Source organism: Homo sapiens, chromosome 4, assembly GCF_000001405.40.
Source record: "Homo sapiens chromosome 4, GRCh38.p14 Primary Assembly".
NCBI classification, from domain to species: Eukaryota; Metazoa; Chordata; class Mammalia; order Primates; family Hominidae; genus Homo; species Homo sapiens.
Window position 1 is genome coordinate 79,958,066 of NC_000004.12, and position 24,569 is coordinate 79,982,634.

At 36.6% G+C, this 24,569-nt stretch overlaps 1 protein-coding gene across 4 annotated transcripts in view, besides 2 other annotated features; it reads right to left on the reverse strand.

Annotated features, from left to right (window-relative positions):
* Positions 1-24,569, reverse strand: part of ANTXR2 (ANTXR cell adhesion molecule 2) — a 172,327-nt gene that overhangs the window by 56,920 nt on the left and 90,838 nt on the right. For 3 of the 4 annotated variants that reach the window (NM_001286780.2, NM_001286781.2, NM_058172.6), the window contains exons 15-16: positions 19,942-20,109; positions 19,556-19,636 (exon numbers count right to left, since the gene is read on the reverse strand). In NM_001286780.2, the coding sequence (NP_001273709.1) occupies positions 19,556-19,636; positions 19,942-20,109 (249 nt within the window). Of the gene's footprint in view, positions 1-19,460; positions 19,637-19,941; positions 20,110-24,569 lie in introns of those variants that run through there. The other variant, NM_001145794.2, reaches the window with a different exon arrangement.
* Positions 1,556-1,756: a silencer, noted in NCBI's record as "peak5064 fragment used in MPRA reporter construct". NCBI's record gives its function as "represses an SCP1 promoter by STARR-seq MPRAs in K562 erythroleukemia cells {active_cell/tissue: K562}" and the evidence as "EXISTENCE:reporter gene assay evidence [ECO:0000049][PMID:32103011]".
* Positions 6,035-6,596: an enhancer, noted in NCBI's record as "NANOG hESC enhancer chr4:80885254-80885815 (GRCh37/hg19 assembly coordinates)". NCBI's record gives its function as "activates a minimal SCP1, AML or CMV promoter by ChIP-STARR-seq in primed H9 embryonic stem cells {active_cell/tissue: H9 hESC(primed)}" and the evidence as "EXISTENCE:reporter gene assay evidence [ECO:0000049][PMID:30033119]".

Here is a 24,569-nt window from a genome sequence, read left to right on the forward strand (position 1 = left end):
TTCCTTTTCTTTTCTGTCTCATTTTCTAGCTCTTGATTCTCTCTCCTTCTATATCACCTCATAATCTGATGTTTCCTCTTCAGTGAAGTATTTTGTATGCTGGTAAACATGAAAGTAATATTATTCAGATTTACTGCTGTTGCTATACCTAGGGATTTTATTTGAATTTATTGGTACTTGTCTATCATTCCTAACTGCCCTACAGTAACTGTCAAAAGGTGAAGTTCTGAATATTAACCCAAGGAAATATTTGAAATATGTAAATGAAAATATTTTATCACACACACACATTCTCTCCTTCCTAAACTTCTTATCTCATAAAAGAGTATCTGATGCCAGAGCATGAAAAGTGTATTAAGAGCTTAACATCAGTATTAATAACTCAGATTTAAAACTCTTAGCAATTAATTAAGATTAATGACAGAAGTCATCCCTTTTTCTCCAATGTAACACTTCCTCACATCTTTTCAATCTCTCATTCATGAGCCCCTCCATGCTCATTTCAGGCTGTGAAAAACGAAGGTCCTGAAACTTTGATCCTGTTATCTGCTGCTTTTTGTATCTGAGATTAAGGAAGTAGACACTGGCAAATTTACAACCAACAGCTCGGACAGCTGTCCTACTTTAAGCAGTTAATGGAAAAGGAACTAATCTAGTTAAGAGCATAAGACTAGTTCATAAATCTGGATTCGGAGGACAGTTAAAACCGTCCCACCTCTTCTGAAGAGTAGTAACTGAATTAAATTCTCTTCTCACTGTTTGTTGAGAAGAGCCAGTGTTTCTGTAAACTGGACTAATGAGGCACTCAGAGCTAACATAAGCCACATATAGGCCAGCACCATAGATGATTATGCAAAAGATTAATTAACATTAAAATATATGATTTGGCTAGGACAAATACAGATCTCACAAGAATTCCGATCATTGAAAATTTTTCTTAAATAGAATATGAAATAAAGATCAAATGTTTTTAAAAAATGAAAAAAATGCAACTGCAAGCAAAAAAAAATTCTGAAAAAGACAATAAAAATTAAAAGCCTTCATTTGTTCAAAATTTAGCCTAAAGGAAAATGATTGTGTTATGTTTTTATAATTCAGAAAATGTTCAATAGATTTAATTATAATTTAAAAATTAATCATCCAAACTGACTAATTTTAGCCCCTTATAAATAACATTTTTTTGTATCATCATCCTTAGCCACATTTTTGCAGAAAATAATTCAAACGTTAAATTTCAGAATTGTTCTGTCTTATTTTTCTCAGTAGCTTAATTTATAAGTAGTAAAATAACAAGTAAAGATAACAGAAATGTTTAAATTCTACAAATTCAAATGATACCTCTCTTATGAATCACTAGGATCTAATGCACATATTAACTTATAATTTATATTCTTAATTATAATAAAACTAAGAGGAACTATAATAGACAAAATTCTGTTCCTCAAATCAATATCTCATGCATATCACAGGGTAATTATGTTATCTGATGGCATAGGAGACTGTACCCAGAATTAGAAAGTTAAAATCTTGACCCTGCTCACTGAGCTGTGGGAACCACAATGGTGTGCTTAAGTCTAGTGGGCCTCAGTTTAGATACATCTGGTGAGGGATAGAGCAAATGACTGAGAGAAAAGTTATATAACTACAATTTGAAAGACATACATGAGGAAAATGGCTAAGTCCCGCTAAACACAGATAATGTAGTGACAACAGGGGGTCAAAGCGGAAAATTCATATAAGCTCTCAGAGACATGCAAGTGGAATTCAAGAGGGAAGGTCGCATTGTCTAAGAATGATGTCTAACGACGTCTCTAACAATGAGGACAAAGCAGTGGAAGCCTCAATCAATGTTAGGAAGTCAGACAAGGGAGAGAAATGAAAGAATTAGAGAAAGATAATGGGAGAGTAATCCCTCTTTACTCCAGAAATTTATCTGTATGCTACGTATGTAAACATGATATTTGAACGTTTTATTGAAATGTTTTACAGACTTACTAACTCTTTTAGGCAACTAAGATTTGAGATGGGCATATGTGCATGTGTCTGTGTGTATGTCTCACCAATCTGCACTAGGTTCCGCCTTAAAGCTATTTAAATAAAATAAAGTGAATTCATAATTAACTATTAAGAAATCATTCATGTCAGGAAATGGCTCTAGAAAACAAAAGTGCTTGATTTAAAAAAATTAGAAAACTCTAATATGATTCAAAACAAAAGTATGCTTAGTACTGGATATGATTATGAAATTTAATATATATGATGTATTATTTTCAGTATACTAACCTGCTTACTAAGAAGCATTATGGGAACCTAAAGTATCTTTCTGCCACATTTTCCAAGTGAAAAGAGCTCTTTAAGGAGAAAGAGATGATGTATATCAGAGAATAAAATTATTGTGAAATGGCAATGAGTTTGTAGAAATTATCCCAACTTTATAAGTTTTTTAAAAGCATAAGGAGAAAAAAAACTTGTAATTATTTGAAACTAAGAAAGTGTTAACCCAAAGCCAGAAAAAATAAAATGGTAAACAAATGTCCAGGGGTATTCTTTCATTTCTCCTTATTTTCTGTTTCCTTCTCTCTTTTTTTATGTTATTTGCAAAGTTTGAAAAATAAATTATTTTTATTTTATAACTCAAAATTATATCAGTTTCAAAATTCTTAAATGTTAGAGGTTGGAATTTGATTCAGAGTACAATTAGTGGAAAATATAAATAAAAATTATATGGAAAAATTTTTAAAGAAATTACTTAGTATAATTATTACTATTGCATACTACTATATATTAGCTTCTATGTTATACAAATCCTAGTGTTTTATTTATAAATAAAAATGAGAGATATTTAGCAAAGTTGAAAAGGCATTTATAAGTACATTTTTAGGAATAAAGGGGCAATAAAAGCTTCCTACTCAAGCCAATTTCCTTAACTGAGTTATAAAGCTTTCCTTAAACTAAACTTATAAATGGGGTTCTGGTAGACACAAAGGCACCATCATAATGCATTCTATTTAAGTAACAAACTGTCTACAAAAAAGATGCACTGTATCCCCCCTTGGACTGGGTCTTCTGAGCTCTAAATTTAAAAATGAGTATTTAACACATGTAGAATAATGTAGATTTCTGTAAATTATTAGAAATTATAGTAATTTATTTAAATATATATTTAAGCCTCTGTAATAAAAAGTATATAAAAACCATACATAAAGTAACCAAAAAATGGAAAATAAAGCTTAAAATTGTATCTGTGTTGACATTTCTGCTCCCCATTGGATGATTTAATTGATTCTACATCACAGCCATACGTTGAGCCTCAGAAAATAATGTGTTTAGTCCTGGACCACCAAGACATTTTGAAAGTATTCTTTTTTTAATTATTGTTATTTTTTTAAGATGGGATCTTGCTCTGTCACCCAGGCTGGAGTGCAATAGTGTGATCATGGCTTACTGCAGCCTTGACATCCCTGGCTCAAGCAATCCTCCCACCTCAGCCTCCCGGGTAGCTGGTACTACAGGCATGTTCCACTCTACCAGGCTAATATTTTGTTTGTATTTTTTGTAGAGACGGGGTCTCCCTATGTTGCCCAGGCTGGTCTCAAACTCCAGGACTCAAGGGATTCTCTCATCTCTGCCTCCCAAAGTGTTGGGATTGCAGGTGTGAGCCCCACACTCAGCCAAAAGTATTCTTTCAGAGTGCCAAAGCTCACTGATGATGATGAAAAGAAGTTACATTTCTAAAACCAGTGCATTGAGAAGAGGTATTTACACTAATCATTTTTTGTTTCTTGTTTATCAAAAGGTTGCTGATGAAATTTTACTCAAGATAAATATTTATCTAAACTTGGAAATTAATACAGAAAATGTATATGACTCCACTAAATAGCTAATAATGCCTATATGGGGAGGGGAGACAACTAAGTACCCAAGTTCTGTTTATAGATTCTTTGAAAAAAAATATATTTTTTGGTAATTTAAATGATTAAATTTTGCATATTCTGCATTTCACTTCAGGAAACCAGACTGAGTCAACACTTTTGCCAACTTATATACCTAATTAAGAGATTATTTTATTGAAACTAAGAAATGTTATCAAAAAGCATTCTATTTCATGAATTTGTTATTTTCCACTGAAACAGTTCATGATATACACAGTGAGCAAATATGTCCTATAAGAATATATGCATATATATAGTTATAAACATGCTATATGCACATTCATATATATATACACACTCTCCTAAAACAGTCAGTGGGATAGTAGTAAAAATGGCATGTTCATGAGATGGATTATTCTAGTAAAAATTTATCTTTCAAATATGTATAAACTGAAGTTAATTACTTCCATTAATTTAAATGGAATATGATGGTATTTTAAAGACGCCCTGAAAGGTAAAGGCCAAAGATAATAATAATGAAAGATAATATAAAGAGCGGAAAAGACTAGTGGTATTCTTTTCCAGCTTTGTTGCATCAGAATCGCCCTAAAGAAACTATAACAAATTTCAGATCTTATAGAAATAAAAGGTAAACAATGGGTTTACAGTTTTTAAACATTTTTATATTTTCTACTCTGTCACTTTAATATATAAAAGGAAATGAATAGAAATACATGGGCATTTTATACATGATAGGACTGACTCAATTAGGCTACAATAAAGGGTTATTTTTTCTAAAGCCCCTAAAATCTGTTACAAAGTTCAGCTATATGGCACAAAATATTTGGATGGAAACTAAAAACTAAATTTAAAAATGTAGCCCTTTTTCAAAACAATGATTTTTGGGGTAATAATATTGAGTAGCCCAGGCTATCAATATACATATATTTTAATGATTTTTTTTAAGAATGCAGTCATTAGCAGCATAATTCTAGGTACTGAAGACACTTGAAGCATCAAATCAATTGAGTGAAGGTTCCAATCTGCACTGAAAGACCCACTAGTGGTTACACTTCGCAACTGTGATGGGAACATAATGGCAGTGTGATGCAGAATCTCTACCATCCAGATGCTTATTATATTTGAAGATGACATGGTTTAAGAGTGCCAAGCACTGGGTGATTTGTTAACATAATGGAGTACAAAGCCATCCTTGAGAAGGTTGTAATCATTTAAGAAGCCACCATTAAAAAGGGCAAGGCCAGTGTGAGCCTGAAAATTCACAAGCAGGACTGAAAGGCACGAGCATAAATTTAGAAATTAGAGATGTAAACAAGAGGTAGAGCCCAAAGCCTTTGCCTTTGACGTTATCAGGATTCTCGGGTCCCTTTTAAATGAACTTGTGCAACCTGTCTTCTCTGATATTTTTGTGGGTTTTGCTGTAGATTTAAAAAATTGGAGGATTGAGATAGTGTTCTGTCAGACTGAATATTCTTGAGAAAGCAATCGCCGTCAATCATTTCAAAAAAACGAAATTACATCTGCACAACTGACAAAAGTCCTCTCAATATACTGAAAAATATTTATGTTGCTTATTTCAACAAGACATAAAAACTTTGCTACATACTACCATCTGCCCTTTGGCCATTGCTCCCTGGCTACTTCCCTCTCCAAAGGATACTTTTGAGTCAGCATCTCTCCTTTTTCTCAAGAAAGGGAGCCTAAATTTTACGAATGATAATATTTTACGTTACTATAGAATCTTTATTATCTTACCATTCCCAGGAGCTCTTTCTTATCAGGATAATATTGTAACCAATTCTATTATGTCATATTTACGTGTGCAAAATTAAGGAGTTTTTGCAGTATTTCCATTGAAAAGTCAACACATTCTTGAATTTTTTGTTTCTGGCTGAATGTAGGTAGTAGAGGAGGAGAACCGCCCAAAAAGAAAATGTTTGTTTACTTCTGACTTAACATTTTATTTTTTATATGTAACTATAGGAATGAAGTCTTTATGAATAGGAATTAGTTAAAGTCAATTCAATTTTGTAAATTTTGTTTTAGTAAAAAATTACATCCATCGGCAAAGATTTAATTTAATTTCATCTCCGTGTAATAAGAAACCTTAAAAGTTTAAAAACAAATGGTGGATGTACTTGACGAGTGTTACTAGGATTCTTCAACCGCTGTATACACACTTTTATGTCTGCTTGCTGGTGAGGAGAGACTGCCTTCTGAAGGTTAACATAACCTCGATTACAGCCAAGAAGCTCCTTGGAGATTTAATTGGTTTGTGGAACTACTCCAAAACTAGTGCTGCGCTTTCTTCTTTCTTTGCCTTTCTGCTTCTCTAACTCTCTCTTTTCAAATCAAAAAGGAGAACGCATGGTAATGCATCATTTATAAATTACCTTGTTACTGCGAAAAACAAAACACTGCTTTGAAAACCAAACAAACTCCTGCTGCGGACTCCGGCATGTTTGATGGAGGCCTTTCAAAAGAGTCCACGGCTTAATGGAGGTTGTTTATGTGGAGACTTCGATCTGTACCTGCTGTCCCCTGTCACTCCCTGGAAACTTGGCGGCAGATGTTGCAGCGTTAAGTTGTCTCTGAAGTGGCTTTCTGTCCTCGTCTCCCCACCGCAACGGAGTCAAACTACATTAGATCTCTTATTTGTGCCTAAGGCAAGTTTGGGAGCGCAGCTGTGTCCACCCCGACTCCTACCTTTGGTGTTTCAGGCCTCCAGGCAGCGAGAGTGAGACCAAAACGGTTTTGCCGCTCTCAACTACCTCCGCTGACAATCCGGCCGCTAGCTGCGGGATGGGGAGGCCGCTGCCGCCGCTGCAAACAGATGTCAGCGACAACCTGCTAGCTTACACCTGGACGCGCGGCCCTCACCTCGCGCGCCGCGCTGAAACATTCATGTCTCGGAGGACTTCCCGCCGCAATCAAAGCCCGGGCCCGGCGTGCGGCCCGCGGACCCCGCCACCTCTGCGGAAGCTGGCGCGCGGAAGAGAGCGCGAGAGAGGGCCCGAGCGGGAGACTGCTCGCCCGCTTTGATACTTTCTGCCTGAACTTCAATTACTTGATCAAGGACTTCAATTCAGCAGTGAATTCTTCCACAAACGTGCCCGGTGCGGCCTCCGAGCCATAAGAGCCATAAAAGGGGCGCATTTGGCTGGAAATTCACCGTGACGGGACTCACAGAGTAAATGCGCGTGACTCTGGGTTGAGTTCTAGGAACGCTGATTTGTTTATACAACTAAACTTGAGTTTCAAGCGGCAGAATCTGCAGTAAACAATTATAAATAAATGACAAGATTGTTTTCCTAGGTAGAAAACATGCTGTTGACTAGGCAGAGGTCGTGTTATTTAGAACCATTAGCCACAACCTGAAAACAGCTGTGTTTTATTGTCTCTCAAGTGGCATGAAGTTTGTTTTGCCTTTTTTTAGAGTCACTATTATCTCCTTTAAAAAAGGAAGCATTCTCATTTACTTCTTGACAATACACATCAAGTTCCATCCATTTCTAACTAAAAAAATTGTTTAAACTCTTCCTGATTTCTACAGTTTAAAAATTGCTTTATAAGCACACACATGGAACTTGTATACCTGTATAAATACTTCATAAGAACCATAATCAAAAGTAAATATTATGCATATATACACACAAAAACCATTATGAGCACAGAACACACAGGAAAATAAAATTATTTGCAAGATATATTCACCAATTTACATGTTGATAAGAAAGTTTATTTTAAAAAGAATTGACCTTAACAGACAATAACATTTGTTCCAGTGAACTTTTTGCTATGCATAGACAATTCTTTTAGAGGGAATCAGTGTATCTAATCTAAGCTGATACAATGCTATTTACAAATTTCCTAATATTCCTAATATCAGATAATTTGTTGAGAACATAGATTTGTTGATATAAAAGTGATATACATTTTCAAAGGGCAATGGACATCTCTTAAAAATATAAAATCTTTCATGAATTGGTCTCAGTTCAACGTTTTTCATTTAATCAGATTTTGATTGACATTAGGGATGTAAATTTGCAAACAATAGGATTTCACCCTTGCTTAGAGCCCAATTGTAGGTATATGTGATTATTTAAAGCTAACAAAAGAACTCCAGGACTAATTTTTCTCATTCAATGAATGATTATGCTAGGACTTAGACACACACACACACACACACACACACACTACTCTAAAGACAATTCATTTTCTCCTTTCTTGAAGCAAATATAAATGTAGGTAGATAGTTATTTAAAGAACAGCCAGAGAAGTAGAGGATACTACCACTTGGGCATCGTAGTCCCCTAAATTTTAATTTTCTTTAGTACATGTAATTCCATGAGATAAACCACATCTACATAAACTAAATTGGTAAAAACCATAAGGTTCAGTAACTTTAATTTTTTACCAACTAACCACAGTAAGTAGAAGGTAGTGGTGAGCTATGGATGTCTTCTCGTGCATAGATAAAGCATTACCAAAGCAGATCATCCCATTTTAATATGATGCATCCAAATTAGCTGTGCCAAATATACTCTAAATTCCTGATACTCTTCCTGCCTCTGCGTCATTATTTTCTGAATAGGTAAATTACTGTAAGTTCCCCAAATGAAAGATACTCTAAAGCAAAAAAGAACTGAAATTTAAGAAATATTATGTGCTCTTTCTATAAAATAGAAATAAAATTTGTAGGATATTAGAGTCTCAATACAGATTATATCACTGCCCCATGCAAATATGATTTTATTTAAACAAATAATGAAATATTACTTTTTGGATAATACTATTTTTATGTTTACATTATTTTAGAGACTTAAAAAAATCACTGAAATATTTACCATGATTAAATGGCCTGTGATTGCTGCACATTCTTTTTGGCACAAGTTGCCTTTGTCAATCAAGATATTTACTGTGCTGGCGACTATAAGAATAGGGCGTCCGGGGAGGAGCCAAGATGGCCGAATAGGAACAGCTCAGGTCTACAGCTCCCAGCGTGAGCGACGCAGAAGACGGTGATTTCTGCATTTCCATCTGAGGTACCGGGTTCATCTCACTAGGGAGTGCCAGACAGTGGGCGCAGGCCAGTGTGTGTGCGCACCGTGCGCGAGCCGAAGCAGGGCGAGGAATTGCCTCACCTGGGAAGCGCAAGGGGTCAGGGAGTTCCCTTTCCGAGTCAAAGAAAGGGGTTACGGATGCACCTGGAAAATCGGGTCACTCCCACCCGAATATTGCGCTTTTCAGACCGGCTTAAGAAACGGCGCACCACGAGACTATATCCCACACCTGGCTCGGAGGGTCCTATGCCCACGGAATCTCGCTGATTGCTAGCACAGCAGTCTGAGATCAAACTGCAAGGCGGCAACGAGGCTGGGGGAGGGGCGCCCGCCATTGCCCAGGCTTGCTTAGGTAAACAAAGCAGCCAGGAAGCTCGAACTGGGTGGAGCCCACCACAGCTCAAGGAGGCCTGCCTGCCTCTGTAGGCTCCACCTCTGGGGGCAGGGCACAGACAAACAAAAAGACAGCAGTAACCTCTGCAGACTTAAGTGTCCCTGTCTGACAGCTTTGAAGAGAGCAGTGGTTCTCCCAGCACGCAGCTGGAGATCTGAGAACGGGCAGACTGCCTCCTCAAGTGGGTCCCTGACTCCTGACCCCCGAGCAGCCTAACTGGGAGGCACCCCCCAGCAGGGGCACACTGACACCTCACACGGCAGGGTATTCCAACAGACCTGCAGCTGAGGGTCCTGTCTGTTAGAAGGAAAACTAACAACCAGAAAGGACATCTACACCGAAAACCCATCTGTACATCACCATCATCAAAGACCAAAAGTAGATAAAACCACAAAGATGGGGAAAAAACAGAACAGAAAAACTGGAAACTCTAAAACGCAGAGCGCCTCTCCTCCTCCAAAGGAACGCAGTTCCTCACCAGCAACAGAACAAAGCTGGATGGAGAATGATTTTGACGAGCTGAGAGAAGAAGGCTTCAGACGATCAAATTACTCTGAGCTACGGGAGGACATTCAAACCAAAGGCAAAGAAGTTGAAAACTTTGAAAAAAATTTAGAAGAATGTATAACTAGAATAACCAATACAGAGAAGTGCTTAAAGGAGCTGATGGAGCTGAAAACCAAGGCTCGAGAACTACGTGAAGAATGCAGAAGCCTCAGGAGCCGATGCGATCAACTGGAAGAAAGGGTATCAGCAATGGAAGATGAAATGAATGAAATGAAGCGAGAAGGGAAGTTTAGAGAAAAAAGAATAAAAAGAAATGAGCAAAGCCTCCAAGAAATATGGGACTATGTGAAAAGACCAAATCTACGTCTGATTGGTGTACCTGAAAGTGATGTGGAGAATGGAACCAAGTTGGAAAACACTCTGCAGGATATTATCCAGGAGAACTTCCCCAATCTAGCAAGGCAGGCCAACGTTCAGATTCAGGAAATACAGAGAACGCCACAAAGATACTCCTCGAGAAGAGCAACTCCAAGACACATAATTGTCAGATTCACCAAAGTTGAAATGAAGGAAAAAATGTTAAGGGCAGCCAGAGAGAAAGGTCGGGTTACCCTCAAAGGAAAGCCCATCAGACTAACAGCAGATCTCTCGGCAGAAACCCTACAAGCCAGAAGAGAGTGGGGGCCAATATTCAACATTCTTAAAGAAAAGAATTTTCAACCCAGAATTTCATATCCAGCCAAACTAAGCTTCATAAGTGAAGGAGAAATAAAATACTTTATAGACAAGCAAATGTTGAGAGATTTTGTCACCACCAGGCCTGCCCTAAAAGAGCTCCTGAAGGAAGCGCTAAACATGGAAAGGAACAACCGGTACCAGCCGCTGCAAAATCATGCCAAAATGTAAAGACCATCGAGACTAGGAAGAAACTGCATCAACTAATGAGCAAAATCACCAGCTAACATCATAATGACAGGATCAAATTGACACATAACAATATTAACTTTAAATATAAATGGACTAAATTCTGCAATTAAAAGACACAGACTGGCAAGTTGGATAAAGAGTCAAGACCCATCAGTGTGCTGTATTCAGGAAACCCATCTCACGTGCAGAGACACACATAGGCTCAAAATAAAAGGATGGAGGAAGATCTACCAAGCCAATGGAAAACAAAAAAAGGCAGGGGTTGCAATCCTAGTCTCTGATAAAACAGACTTTAAACCAACAAAGATCAAAAGAGACAAAGAAGGCCATTACATAATGGTAAAGGGATCAATTCAACAAGAGGAGCTAACTATCCTAAATATTTATGCACCCAATACAGGAGCACCCAGATTCATAAAGCAAGTCCTCAGTGACCTACAAAGAGACTTAGACTCCCACACATTAATAATGGGAGACTTTAACACCCCACTGTCAACATTAGACAGATCAACGAGACAGAAAGTCAACAAGGATACCCAGGAATTGAACTCAGCTCTGCACCAAGCAGACCTAATAGACATCTACAGAACTCTCCACCCCAAATCAACAGAATATACATTTTTTTCAGCACCACACCACACCTATTCCAAAATTGACCACATAGTTGGAAGTAAAGCTCTCCTCAGCAAATGTAAAAGAACAGAAATTATAACAAACTATCTCTCAGACCACAGTGCAATCAAACTAGAACTCAGGATTAAGAATCTCACTCAAAGCCGCTCAACTACATGGAAACTGAACAACCTGCTCCTGAATGACTACTGGGTACATAACGAAATGAAGGCAGAAATAAAGATGTTCTTTGAAACCAACGAGAACAAAGACACCACATACCAGAATCTCTGGGACGCATTCAAAGCAGTGTGTAGAGGGAAATTTATAGCACTAAATGCCTACAAGAGAAAGCAGGAAAGATCCAAAATTGACACCCTAACATCACAATTAAAAGAACTAGAAAAGCAAGAGCAAACACATTCAAAAGCTAGCAGAAGGCAAGAAATAACTAAAATCAGAGCAGAACTGAAGGAAATAGAGACACAAAAAACCCTTCAAAAAATCAATGAATCCAGGAGCTGGTTTTTTGAAAGGATCAACAAAATTGATAGACCGCTAGCAAGACTAATAAAAAAAGAGAGAAGAATCAAATAGACACAATAAAAAATGATAAAGGGGATATCACCACCGATCCCACAGAAATACAAACTACCATCAGAGAATACTACAAACACCTCTACGCAAATAAACTAGAAAATCTAGAAGAAATGGATACATTCCTCGACACATACACTCTCCCAAGACTAAACCAGGAAGAAGTTGAATCTCTGAATAGACCAATAACAGGCTCTGAAATTGTGGCAATAATCAATAGTTTACCAACCAAAAAGAGTCCAGGACCAGATGGATTCACAGCCGAATTCTACCAGAGGTACATGGAGGAACTGGTACCATTCCTTCTGAAACTATTCCAATCAATAGAAAAAGAGGGAATCCTCCCTAACTCATTTTATGAGGCCAGCATCATTCTGATACCAAAGCCGGGCAGAGACACAACCAAAAAAGAGAATTTTAGACCAATATCCTTGATGAACATTGATGCAAAAATCCTCAATAAAATACTGGCAAACCGAATCCAGCAGCACATCAAAAAGCTTATCCACCATGATCAAGTGGGCTTCATCCCTGGGATGCAAGGCTGGTTCAATATACGCAAATCAATAAATGTAATCCAGCATATAAACAGAGCCAAAGACAAAAACCACATGATTATCTCAATAGATGCAGAAAAAGCCTTTGACAAAATTCAACAACCCTTCATGCTAAAAACTCTCAATAAATTAGGTATTGATGGGACGTATTTCAAAATAATAAGAGCTATCTATGACAAACCCACAGCCAATATCATACTGAATGGGCAAAAACTGGAAGCATTCCCTTTGAAAACCGGCACAAGACAGGGATGCCCTCTCTCACCGCTCCTATTCAACATAGTGTTGGAAGTTCTGGCCAGGGCAATCAGGCAGGAGAAGGAAATAAAGGGTATTCAATTAGGAAAAGAGGAAGTCAAATTGTCCCTGTTTGCAGACGACATGATTGTTTATCTAGAAAACCCCATCGTCTCAGCCCAAAATCTCCTTAAGCTGATAAGCAACTTCAGCAAAGTCTCAGGATACAAAATCAATGTACAAAAATCACAAGCATTCTTATACACCAACAACAGACAAACAGAGAGCCAAATCATGGGTGAACTCCCATTCACAATTGCTTCAAAGAGAATAAAATACCTAGGAATCCAACTTACAAGGGATGTGAAGGACCTCTTCAAGGAGAACTACAAACCACTGCTCAAGGAAATAAAAGAGGAGACAAACAAATGGAAGAACATTCCATGCTCATGGGTAGGAAGAATCAATATCGTGAAAATGGCCATACTGCCCAAGGTAATTTACAGATTCAATGCCATCCCCATCAAGCTACCAATGACTTTCTTCACAGAATTGGAAAAAACTACTTTAAAGTTCATATGGAACCAAAAAAGAGCCCGCATTGCCAAGTCAATCCTAAGCCAAAAGAACAAAGCTGGAGGCATCACACTACCTGACTTCAAACTATACTACAAGGCTACAGTAACCAAAACAGCATGGTACTGGTACCAAAACAGAGATATAGATCAATGGAACAGAACAGAGCCCTCAGAAATAATGCCGCATATCTACAACTATCTGATCTTTGACAAACCTGAGAAAAACAAGCAATGGGGAAAGGATTCCCTATTTAATAAATGGTGCTGGGAAAACTGGCTAGCCATATGTAGAAAGCTGAAACTGGATCCCTTCCTTACACTTTATACAAAAATTAATTCAAGATGGATTAAAGATTTAAACGTTAAACCTAAAACCATAAAAACCCTAGAAGAAAACCTAGGCATTACCATTCAGGACATAGGCGTGGGCAAGGACTTCATGTCCAAAACACCAAAAGCAATGGCAACAAAAGACAAAATTGACAAATGGGATCTAATTAAACTAAAGAGCTTCTGCACAGCAAAAGAAACTACCATCAGAGTGAACAGGCAACCTACAACATGGGAGAAAATTTTCGCAACCTACTCATCTGACAAAGGGCTAATATCCAGAATCTACAATGAACTCAAACAAATTTACAAGAAAAAAACAAACAACCCCATCAAAAAGTGGGCGAAGGACATGAACAGACACTTCTCAAAAGAAGACATTTATGCAGTCAAAAAACACATGAAGAAATGCTCATCATCACTGGCCATCAGAGAAATGCAAATCAAAACCACTATGAGATATCATCTCACACCAGTTAGAATGGCAATCATTAAAAAGTCAGGAAACAACAGGTGCTGGAGAGGATGCGGAGAAATAGGAACACTTTTACACTGTTGGTGGGACTGTAAACTAGTTCAACCATTGTGGAAGTCAGTGTGGCGATTCCTCAGGGATCTAGAACTAGAAATACCATTTGACCCAGCCATTCCATTACTGGGTATATACCCAAATGAGTATAAATCATGCTGCTATAAAGACACATGCACACGTATGTTTATTGCGGCACTATTCACAATAGCAAAGACTTGGAACCAACCCAAATGTCCAACAATGATAGACTGGATTAAGAAAATGTGGCACATATACACCATGGAATACTATGCAGCCATAAAAAATGATGAGTTCATATCCTTTGTAGGGACATGGATGAAATTGGAAACCATCATTCTCAGTAAACTATCGCAAGAACAAAAAACCAAACACCGCATATTCTCACTCATAGGTGGGAATTGAACAATGAGATCACATGGACACAGGAAGGGGAATATCACACTCTGGGGACTGTGGTGGGGTCGGGGGAGGGGGGAGGGATAGCATTGGGAGATATACCTAATGCTAGATGACACATTAGTGGGTGCAGTGCACCAGCATGGCACATGTATACATATGTAACTAACCTGCACAATGTGCACATGTACCCTAAAACTTAGAGTATAATAAAAAAAAAAAAAAAAAAAGAATAGGGCGTCCGAAGGCTTCATTTGTTCACAAGAAGCCAACTGAAAATTAACATATAAAAATGTATAAACTAGTATAAGAAATTGTCAAAACAAAGTGAAAGCATAGTGGAAATAAATGCATTTAAGAAGAAACAAAGATAAAAGAAGAAGGAAGGAAGGAAAAGAGGGAGGGAAAGAGGAAGGTGGGGAGGAAGGGAAGTAAGATAGCACTCTAGAGATGGTGAAACCAAAATAGTATGGTTTCCTAATACATACTGTAAACTTATAAAAAATGTTGGGGCCCTTCAATTATCCTAATAATGTACAGAAAGCTATTTCACTAAAGTAGTGGAAGAATTCTTGCTGTGTATTTTTATGATTAAATCTCTGGAAAAATGTAGGTTCAGGTTTATATGTGTGTGGGATAGGGAATTTATATGGGAGTTAATTTTATGAAATAAAGAAGACCTGGTTGATGATGTGGAGTTGACATAAATTTGGATTTTTTTTTTTTCCCTCTGTTGTCCAGGCTGGAGGGCAGTGGTGCGATCTCAGCTCACTACTGCGATCTCAGCTCACTACTGCAACCTTCACCTCCTGGGTTCAAGTGGTTCTTTCAACTCAGCCTCCTGAGTAGCTGGGACTACAGGTGTGCCCCACCACGCCTGGCTAATTTTTCTATTTTTTGGTAGAGACAGGGTTTCACCATGTTGGCCAGGCTAGTCTCCAACTCCTGGCCTCAAGTGACCCACCTGTCTTGGCCTCCCAAAGTGCTGGGATTACAGGTGTGAGCCACCACACCTGGCCACATTCAGGTATTCTTAATAATCTTTGTGAAACAATGAAAATGGAAAGCTGGGAAATAAAAATGTGGGGGATGGGGGTGAAGATTTCTCAAGTTGTCTAAAAGGTAAAGGTCATATGCTGATAACTACAGATTTCACATAAAACCTCAGTCTAAAACAAAATAATAAATATTATAAAAAAGCACTAGCAAGAAACATAAAGGCAAAACGGCAAATCATGCCAAGCTTACCTGATTTTCTTGAGTGAAGAATCTGTGGTTGGTTTGGTTGGATGGGTGAATAGATAGATATACATTATACCTTAAATTCAGCAAGGAATTTAACACAATTTATTAAAAATCCTTGGGAATCATGTAGTAAACTGAGTTTGTACTTTTGGGTAGGTTCCTAGCTTTAACATACTAATGACACTTAACTGTGAAGTGTCCATCTGTGAGAAAAGGCTCTCATGGGATGCCACACTGAGGTTTCAACAGTGGCTTGAAATAAAAATTTGCAGGTAAGAAAACATCAGAAGTACTAAAGCTAAAAAGAATAGGTATGACGATAAAAGATTAACTCAGACTGCATCAGGCACACATAGAATCATAATATGTATCTGATGAAAAAAACAAATCAATTAATTGAATCGACAACTGATGTTTACTAAGCCTGAAGTCCCGCACTTAAGTAAAAACAAATTTTAAAAAAGGCATAAATAGCACAGAGTGGAAAAAGTGGGGTTTTAGTTAACCTCACATAATAAAAGTCAATTATATTTTATCTATATCTCTGAGGTTCAAAATCTTTGAAAACTGAAAGTTTTACCCTACATTTGTCACCAAAATTCATTTGGAAGCAACAAGTTTTACAATTCATATATATTAATATATAATAGAAAAATGTCTGAATAATATGATTAGGAGATGATGCTTTACATAATATTTGATAAATAGATTATATCATATTCCTAAAATCAGAAAAATCCTGAATTTTGAAATAATCTGACCTCAAGAGTTAGAATAAAGGCTTTGGACTTATCTTAGACAAAAGTGTGAGCATATTGATTAAAAAAAAAAAGAAAAAGGAAGAAAATCTTGGTCAAAATAATGGAAAGGGAAGCATTATTCTTCAAACATGAAAAAATAAATAATTTAACCTGCTGGGGCAACATGTGAAATATTATAGCATTATAATTTAAGAAGAATGTTAAATTTATTTGATATCTAACAGATTACCTGATATATGTTAGGCACTAGGTAAATATTTGTTGAATGAATGATTATAATGCATCATTTTAAAAACTAAACATACCAATTATCTAAACTCACATATTTCTTCTTTTCTATTCCCAGTGAATCTTTCTGGTTTTCACTTCTGAACCCCAGATTATCTAGCAAACCACGAATCACTGCCTCAGTGACTTTGCTCATGATGCCACATCTATGGAAATGTTCATTCTACATATCTCCTACCTATATTCAAAGACAGGGCACCTATATTTTTGAAGAAGCTTTCCCTAATCTCTCCTGAGGGAGAGCTAATCTTTACTTTCCTATGCACTCAAGAGTACCCAGAACACATTCCAGAATAGATCTTATTTTTGTACATGTCTTGTTTCCCAAAGTTCAGGTTTCTTAAGGGCGGAGGCTGCTGTTTGTTTCTACCCTTTGATATTACTTGATGCCATTGCTTTTACATATTCATAATCCAAAAATTATTGAATTGAATCAAAATTAATAGGAATAATGAAAGACTATAAACTAAATTACAATCATGACAGTTAAAAGAAAATATAAAGCATTAGCAAGAGAACTGAGACCACTGTCTGTTTTTATTGGCTAGTATATATTCAATGTTAGCTCAATACCCAGCACTTAATAAGGTGAAAATTATTGAACAAATAAACTAGTGTCTAACCTGGGGAATAAAAACTAAGATGATGCATGAAAACAATTTTAAAATACATGAAGTTAAAGTCTAGCATGTAGAAGAGGAAGAAGAGTTAGTACATGTTGTTCCAGAACAGAACTCCAGATCACAGATGAATTTAAAAAGATACAAATGTCATTATGAAGAACCACAGTGATTGGATCATGACAGAGACTGCTTTATAAACCAACTAGTTCTCTCTACTTATGGTCTTAGCAAACAGTAAATGATGATCTGTTGGGGAAAATTCCAGGAATAAATTTTCTCAAATTACACTTTTTTTTTTTTTTTTGAGACGTAGTCTCTCTCTGTCGCCCAGGCTGGAGTGCAGTGGCAAGATCTCGGCTCACTGCAAGCTCCGCCTCCCAGGTTCACGCCATTCTCCTGCCTCAGCCTCGCGAGTAGCTGGGACTACAGGCGCCCGCCACCACGCCCTGCTAATTTTTTTTATTTTTAGTAGAGACGGGGTTTCTCCATGTTAGCCAGGATGGTCTCGATCTCCTGACCTCGTGATCCGCCCGCCTCGGCTTCCCAAAGTGCTGGGATTACAGGCGTGAGCCACCGCGCCCGGCCCTCAAATCGCATTTAAAAAAAAAATCCCCTGAAGTTGAAGTTCATTAAGTTTATTCCCTTGTTAAAACAGAGGAATGATCATGTTGACACACAGTGAAAACAATTCTAATGAGGTAGGAGGCAGTACTGGATTCTGGAGGTGAGGCTTGGACACCAGACCTAATTGATGATTAACTAAAACAGGGATGGGGCAAAAACACTTTCCCATAAGACACACTGACCAGGGTGCCATGTCAGTTTGCCATTGCCATGGCAACACCCAGAAGTTACCACCACTTTCCATGACAATGACCCGATGACCCGGAAGTTGTCACACCTTTTCTAGAAATGTCTGCATGATCCACCCCTTAATTTTCATATAATTAAAAGTGGGTATCAATATGACTACAGAACTGCCTCTGAGCTGCTCCTCTGAGCACGATGCCTATAGGGTAGCCCTGCTCCACAGGGAGTAGTACCTCTGCTGCTGCTATGCACTGTCGCTTCAACAAAAGTTGCTAACACCTCTGGCTTACCCTTGAATTCTTTTCTGGATGAAGCCAGGAACCTTCCTGGGCTAAGCTCCAATTTGGGAGCCTTCCTGCCCTGCATCAGATTCCTTCTTAGATGAAGTTAAGAACTCTCCCAGGCTAACCTTCAATTTTAGGGCTCACCTGCCCTGCATCACTACTATTATGAACTGTACTGTCTCTGAACCAAACCTATCCATTGTTACATATGAAAAGGTTTTAATCAATTTTTCTTACATCAATACAATGGGAAATAGTACTACTATATTACTGAAATTACAAAACTAGAGTAATTGTAGCCATATTTCCAAAACAAAAATATAGCCTCAGACAGGCTTCCCTGGTGGGGAAAAAATATATACATATCCATATGTGTGTATGTGTGTGTGTTTATCACTATCACAGATTTTTATAATGCTTTATAACTTTAAAGACACTTTTACGTAATAGTCAAGAAATTCGATTACATCAACTGTTGAAGGCAGGGAACATATTTATATCTATAAAACAGATTCTGAGGCCTTTGCCCTAGGCCTTATTGCTACTAAATGCTACTAAATGCTAGAGAAGGACTTCAGCTACTAACTCCCAGTCTGTTGGAACATTTTGTCTTCAAAGTCAAGGGCTGATGCAATGATTGTGCTTATTAAAGTATGTGTACAAATGACCAGAATTGTAAAGAATTTCTTGAAAAGGGAATGGTGTAAAAATGTAGTTTGAAGATGCATTCTAACAATAGGTAATTTATAGACAATTCTATGTAATAGAAATCTACACTTGACAGTATTTCCTTCCTCAAGTGCAATAGGGCTTTAAAATCATTTTTTATTACTATTTCCCTGCCTCCATTATACTGACTCAAGCAGTTAGCTCTTTCTCAATACATTCCCATATACAAACCTCATCTCCTTCCTGAGGTCGCATCAAAGAAACCCGGTCATACTGCCGCCTCAACAAAGCCCAGAGAGCATCAAGACGACCCTAAGGGAAAATGAGATTTGTGAATTCCCAGAGAATGTACTCAATCTCTATGTACTGAATAAATGAAGACATAAAACGAAGAAAGTAAAATCTTCTTTACCCTCATTTCTTTCATAAGGTAAACTAATAAGTAATAAAAACCTAGAGGTTCTTATTGCCAAGAAAGTATTCAGCTGTTAAGAGTGTACAATGAATATCTGCAATTTCATCTACCCTCTTTCAAGTAGCTGGGGGGATGTGGTACAAAAAAAGTTACAATGTCTCCAGAAGTTTTGAGTTAAATTACACAAAATCTGGACACATACCTTAATTGGGGTGTACCATTTTGTCTGAGGAGGCTGGTGTGTGGGTTTGGGTCGAGGTGGTCTAGGCCTGATGGGTTCCTCTGTTTCTTCAGGAATCTTCACCACAGCATTTTTGGCTTTCTCTAGCCTTGCACCTTCCTCAGTAGATCCTTTATCACCCCAACGAACCTGTAAAACAAAGGGAGAGTACTGTTATCAGACATAAAGTGTCCTAGAGGAACAGGCTCTTATTGAGCCTATGGTCCTTTAGTTCACATCTCAGAGTGAAAAAGAAGATGAGCAGGTATCCTAATTCCTAATTTCTCCTCTTCAGAGGCTAAATAGGTTTCTCACCACTCCTGACTGTATTTAATATTAAGATCCAAAAAAAAAAAAAACCCTTTGTAAAAAAATCTGGAGCCAACTAAATTTGAAGCAACCATTTTTCCATAGTTTTAAATAAAGAGTCCATTTGTGGTTTACATATGAAATGCATGACAGTGTGTAATTTTGTTCTCTAATTTGGTTTGTTCCCCTGCTAGCTAAACACATACCCATATGTAGTGATGACACTGGAAGAAATATATGAAAATGACGATAGTTAGCATTTACTGAGTGATTACTATGTGTCAGTCTGCATTTAATCCATACAAAAATGCAGTGAGATAGAGACTCTATTTTCTTCTTTCCAGATGAGGCACAGGGAGGTTAAGTGATATGCCCAAAGCCAGCTAGTAAGTGACAGGGCAGGGATTCGAACATGGATTGAAATGGGTTAATAAGTTTCCAATTGGTTAGAATTTTACAAATGTATTTTATACAAAAGAGTTGCTTCTTCCAAACTTTTCATCACATCTGATTAAGGCAAAAAGTATGATCTGAACATTTAGTTTTTGAAAGTAAAATAATTATATATGAGTTTTCTTTACTTTTATAGTTCTAAGTAATATAGTGTTCAGCCTTTAGTTCCCAAGCTCATCTGAGTATGGTTGTGTGGCATATGATTTTTTTCATTGAGGAGGTCAAATCTGAAAAGACTGCTTTGAAAAGAAAAGTTCAGGAACCCTAGAGAATTCCACAAATTATAGCAAATTTCCTCCTCTGAAAATTCTTGACATTGAAAAACCATAAGATCAAATGATTGTTTTATTTTTCAATAGACAGAAATTAAGAGCAAATGATTGTTGTATTTTTCAATAGACAGAAATTAAGAGCTAAATTTGAGTCAAACTGGGCATGTAAAAATAGGATGCAGCCCCTGGAGAAGAGCTTGTCCAACCAGGAGTAGTGGAAAGCCCTACAAAAACCAAGGACATCACCAAAAATGGGCGAGGTCAGAGGAGTGAAGCTCTAAAAACCTATAATAAGAGCTACCGAGGGCACACTATGACACATCAGAGTTAAGTGATTTCTAAAAAGAAAAAAAAAAATCCTAAGACTTCCTAAAGCATTTTAATGATCTGAATTAGTGGGTAGGGATAGAGAAGATTACTATTCATGGAAAGAACTATTCAGTCTTTTTGATAAGGCTTACTTAGATGTTTTTACCTTTTTTTACTACAATTTTAGAATGGGCTTTCAATTTCAAGTGGGCCCTGTTGAGTCATTAAAATGTATCTATATCTTTCAGTGTGATCAATGATACTAGAATGTTTTTATGAGGTTGTTAAAATTGTTTTAAACACCACTAAACCTTTAGAGCTAGATAGTTGGCTTTCTTTCCAGAGAAATGACCTTCTCTTTCCAATCACAGTGTCATCACCTGGATAAACTAACACTTATAAAATCTTTAGATATAGCTAAATTGTATTAAAAACTCTAAAATCAGGACACATATCCTTGCAGTTGTAAAGGCTCAATTTTAAGGAAAAAAAAGATACACAATTAAGTAAAGACACAAATGTCTTAACTTAGAGAAGTCATTCAGGGTAGAAAGAGAAGTAGATACAATTTAGATCCATTCAGAAATGATAGGCTTTAGAATAGACAGCTCTCTCGCCTATGTTTCACAGTTGATATTGCAGAGGTAATGATAATCATATTCTTCTTTCAAGTTTCACTGGCACTATTCTCAGATTAAAAAAATATATATATGAAGCTAGTTAAACTAGAGTTCTGACCCAATGTGGCATTTCTAGGTACTACACTATCAAATGACTATACTTGAGAAATATAGTTGCTGAGATCTAAAGAAGATCCATTAAAGAAATTCATTAGTTTTAGTTCATGAGGGAGCTATTTAATCATCATCAACATCATCACCACCACAAACACCACCACAAACAATTCTCACTTACTCAAAGTCTGAAACTAGAAATTATTACAGTTTTCAAACTCTTAAAAACAATTAAATATACATATATATGTGTATGTGTATGTATGCATAAATTTTAATGTTTTAGTTTGACCACATTGAGACAGTTAAAAAGGACAAAAGAATAACAACAATAGACTGCTAAAGGAAGCCTTAGCAGAATTAATATATCAGGCTTTATTATGGAAAAAAATAAGTGTAAGCTTGATAGCTAAATTCTTCCAACTCCACTTGGCTTTCATTATAAGCAATAAAATTCCATAATTTCCAGAGCATATTTGGATGACTAGAAGGTTATATCATTGAGGAGCAATTTCAGAATCGAGAAAAGAAACAAAAACAGTTTCACACTGAATTGGCAGAAACACACATTTGAAGTCATTAGGTATTGTGGATCAGTTGTGCTAACAGCTGTTATTAACATCATCTCCGTTCCAGCTTTCTAAAAATTCCCATTACCATAGTGTTTAAATATTTAATTTAAAGAAGAAGGAAGAAAAAAATTCTAGGTAAAAATCCCTATGCTGGCTTAAAATAACCTTAGCTATAAAAATGTGTTCTGTAATTCACATGTGCTCATAATTTCTATAATTCCTTTTACTTTTCCTAGTTTAAGGGCTTTAAAAAAAAAAAAAAAAAAAAAGAGAAGTACCTTCCAGGTTTGAATAAGCATGCTTTTAAAACAAATTTTGTTTGCACAGTGGCACCTGCCTGTAGCCCCAGCTACATGAGAGAATCGAGAGAATCGCTTGAGCTCAGGGGTTCAAGACCAGCCAGGGCAACATAATGAGAACTCCCCATCATCCACTCCAGATTTCTTAAAAAATAAATAGATAAATGAAACATTTCCATCTCCACATTTAAATAAATTAATGTTTGAAAATGTTTAATGATGCTTAATTCTCAGTTCAATTTTTACTGTGTATTTTTATATACAGGTTGAGTATAGTTCAAAAATCTAAAATTCAAAATGCTCTAAAACCTGAAACCCATGAAGTGCCAACTTAACAGCATAAGAGGAAAACTCCAAACCTGACCTCATCTGATGGGTCACAGTTGACACTTTGTTTCATGCACAAAATTATTTTAAAACATTGTATATTTTAAAATTCATTTATGCTTGTATATTACGTTTGTGTATTTATGGTATATTTTAAATTCATTTATGTTTGACGCACACCTTATATACATATTCTTCTTATGTGTGTATAAGGTGTGTGTCAAACATATTCCTCTTATGTGTATAGGGTATATATCAAACAAAAATAAATTTGATGTTTAAACTTGGCTCCCCTCCCCAAGATATCATATTAAGTATGTGCAAATGTCCTGAAATCTGAAAAAAATCCAAAATCTAAAACACTTTTAGTTCCAATCATTTCAGATAAGGGATACTCAACGTGTATCGTGTTTCCCCTTTGTAACATCCACACTTGCTTTTCCATTTTTTTCTTCATTCTCATTCTCATTTCCATCTTGTTGATGGAATACTCCATGCAAGGTAGCCAAAATTATCCAAAACTAAAATGGACCCAGATTTATTACAAGTTGGCTGCGGTTTTTCGTCACAAATTTTGTTCAACTGAAAAGGATGTGTGGGCAACATAATTTCACATATTGAGAGTTAAAAACTCTTGAAACTTGAATTATAGGTTAGTTAGGGATGTGTGTATGCTCTTGGCTCTCATAAATATAAACCAATAATGTTCCTTTTAACTCAGGACCCATTCAGGGGCTCACTCACACATTTCCTTTCCTTTAAAAAGAGATCTCAATCTTTGGAACACTGGAATATTGAACTAACAAAAATCTGACATATTCCTAGTTTTTTAAAGCAAGAATATTATTTATTCAATTAAGGCTCACATACTAATATCCTTACTTTATTATCATGCCATATTTTACATGAGTGAATTTCAAAATGGCATTAAGTTTATTATTCTGAATATGAAGTAGTACATGCTCACTGTCAAATACATTTAAACAATAGGGAAATATATAGCATAGATTGAAAATTGTCCATCCAGAGAAACCTACTCACATTTTTGGTATATTCTATCAAGCCTTTTTTCCCCGTTATATAGATCTTTTTACACACACATTTTGGAATGAGATGAAATCAAATAAAAATAAGTTGTTACAGATCGTATTTGGATATTTGATTGTAACACTTTTATTTCGAAGTGTATGTTTTATACATATAGGAACATCCTATATACTTTCTTCCCACCTTTCCAAGTCTAGAATGACACAACAAAGGTAAGAAAGGAAAATAACCTTCCTTCTGTGTCAAACAACAAGAACTTGCCTAGCCATGCTCTCTTATATTGTTTGC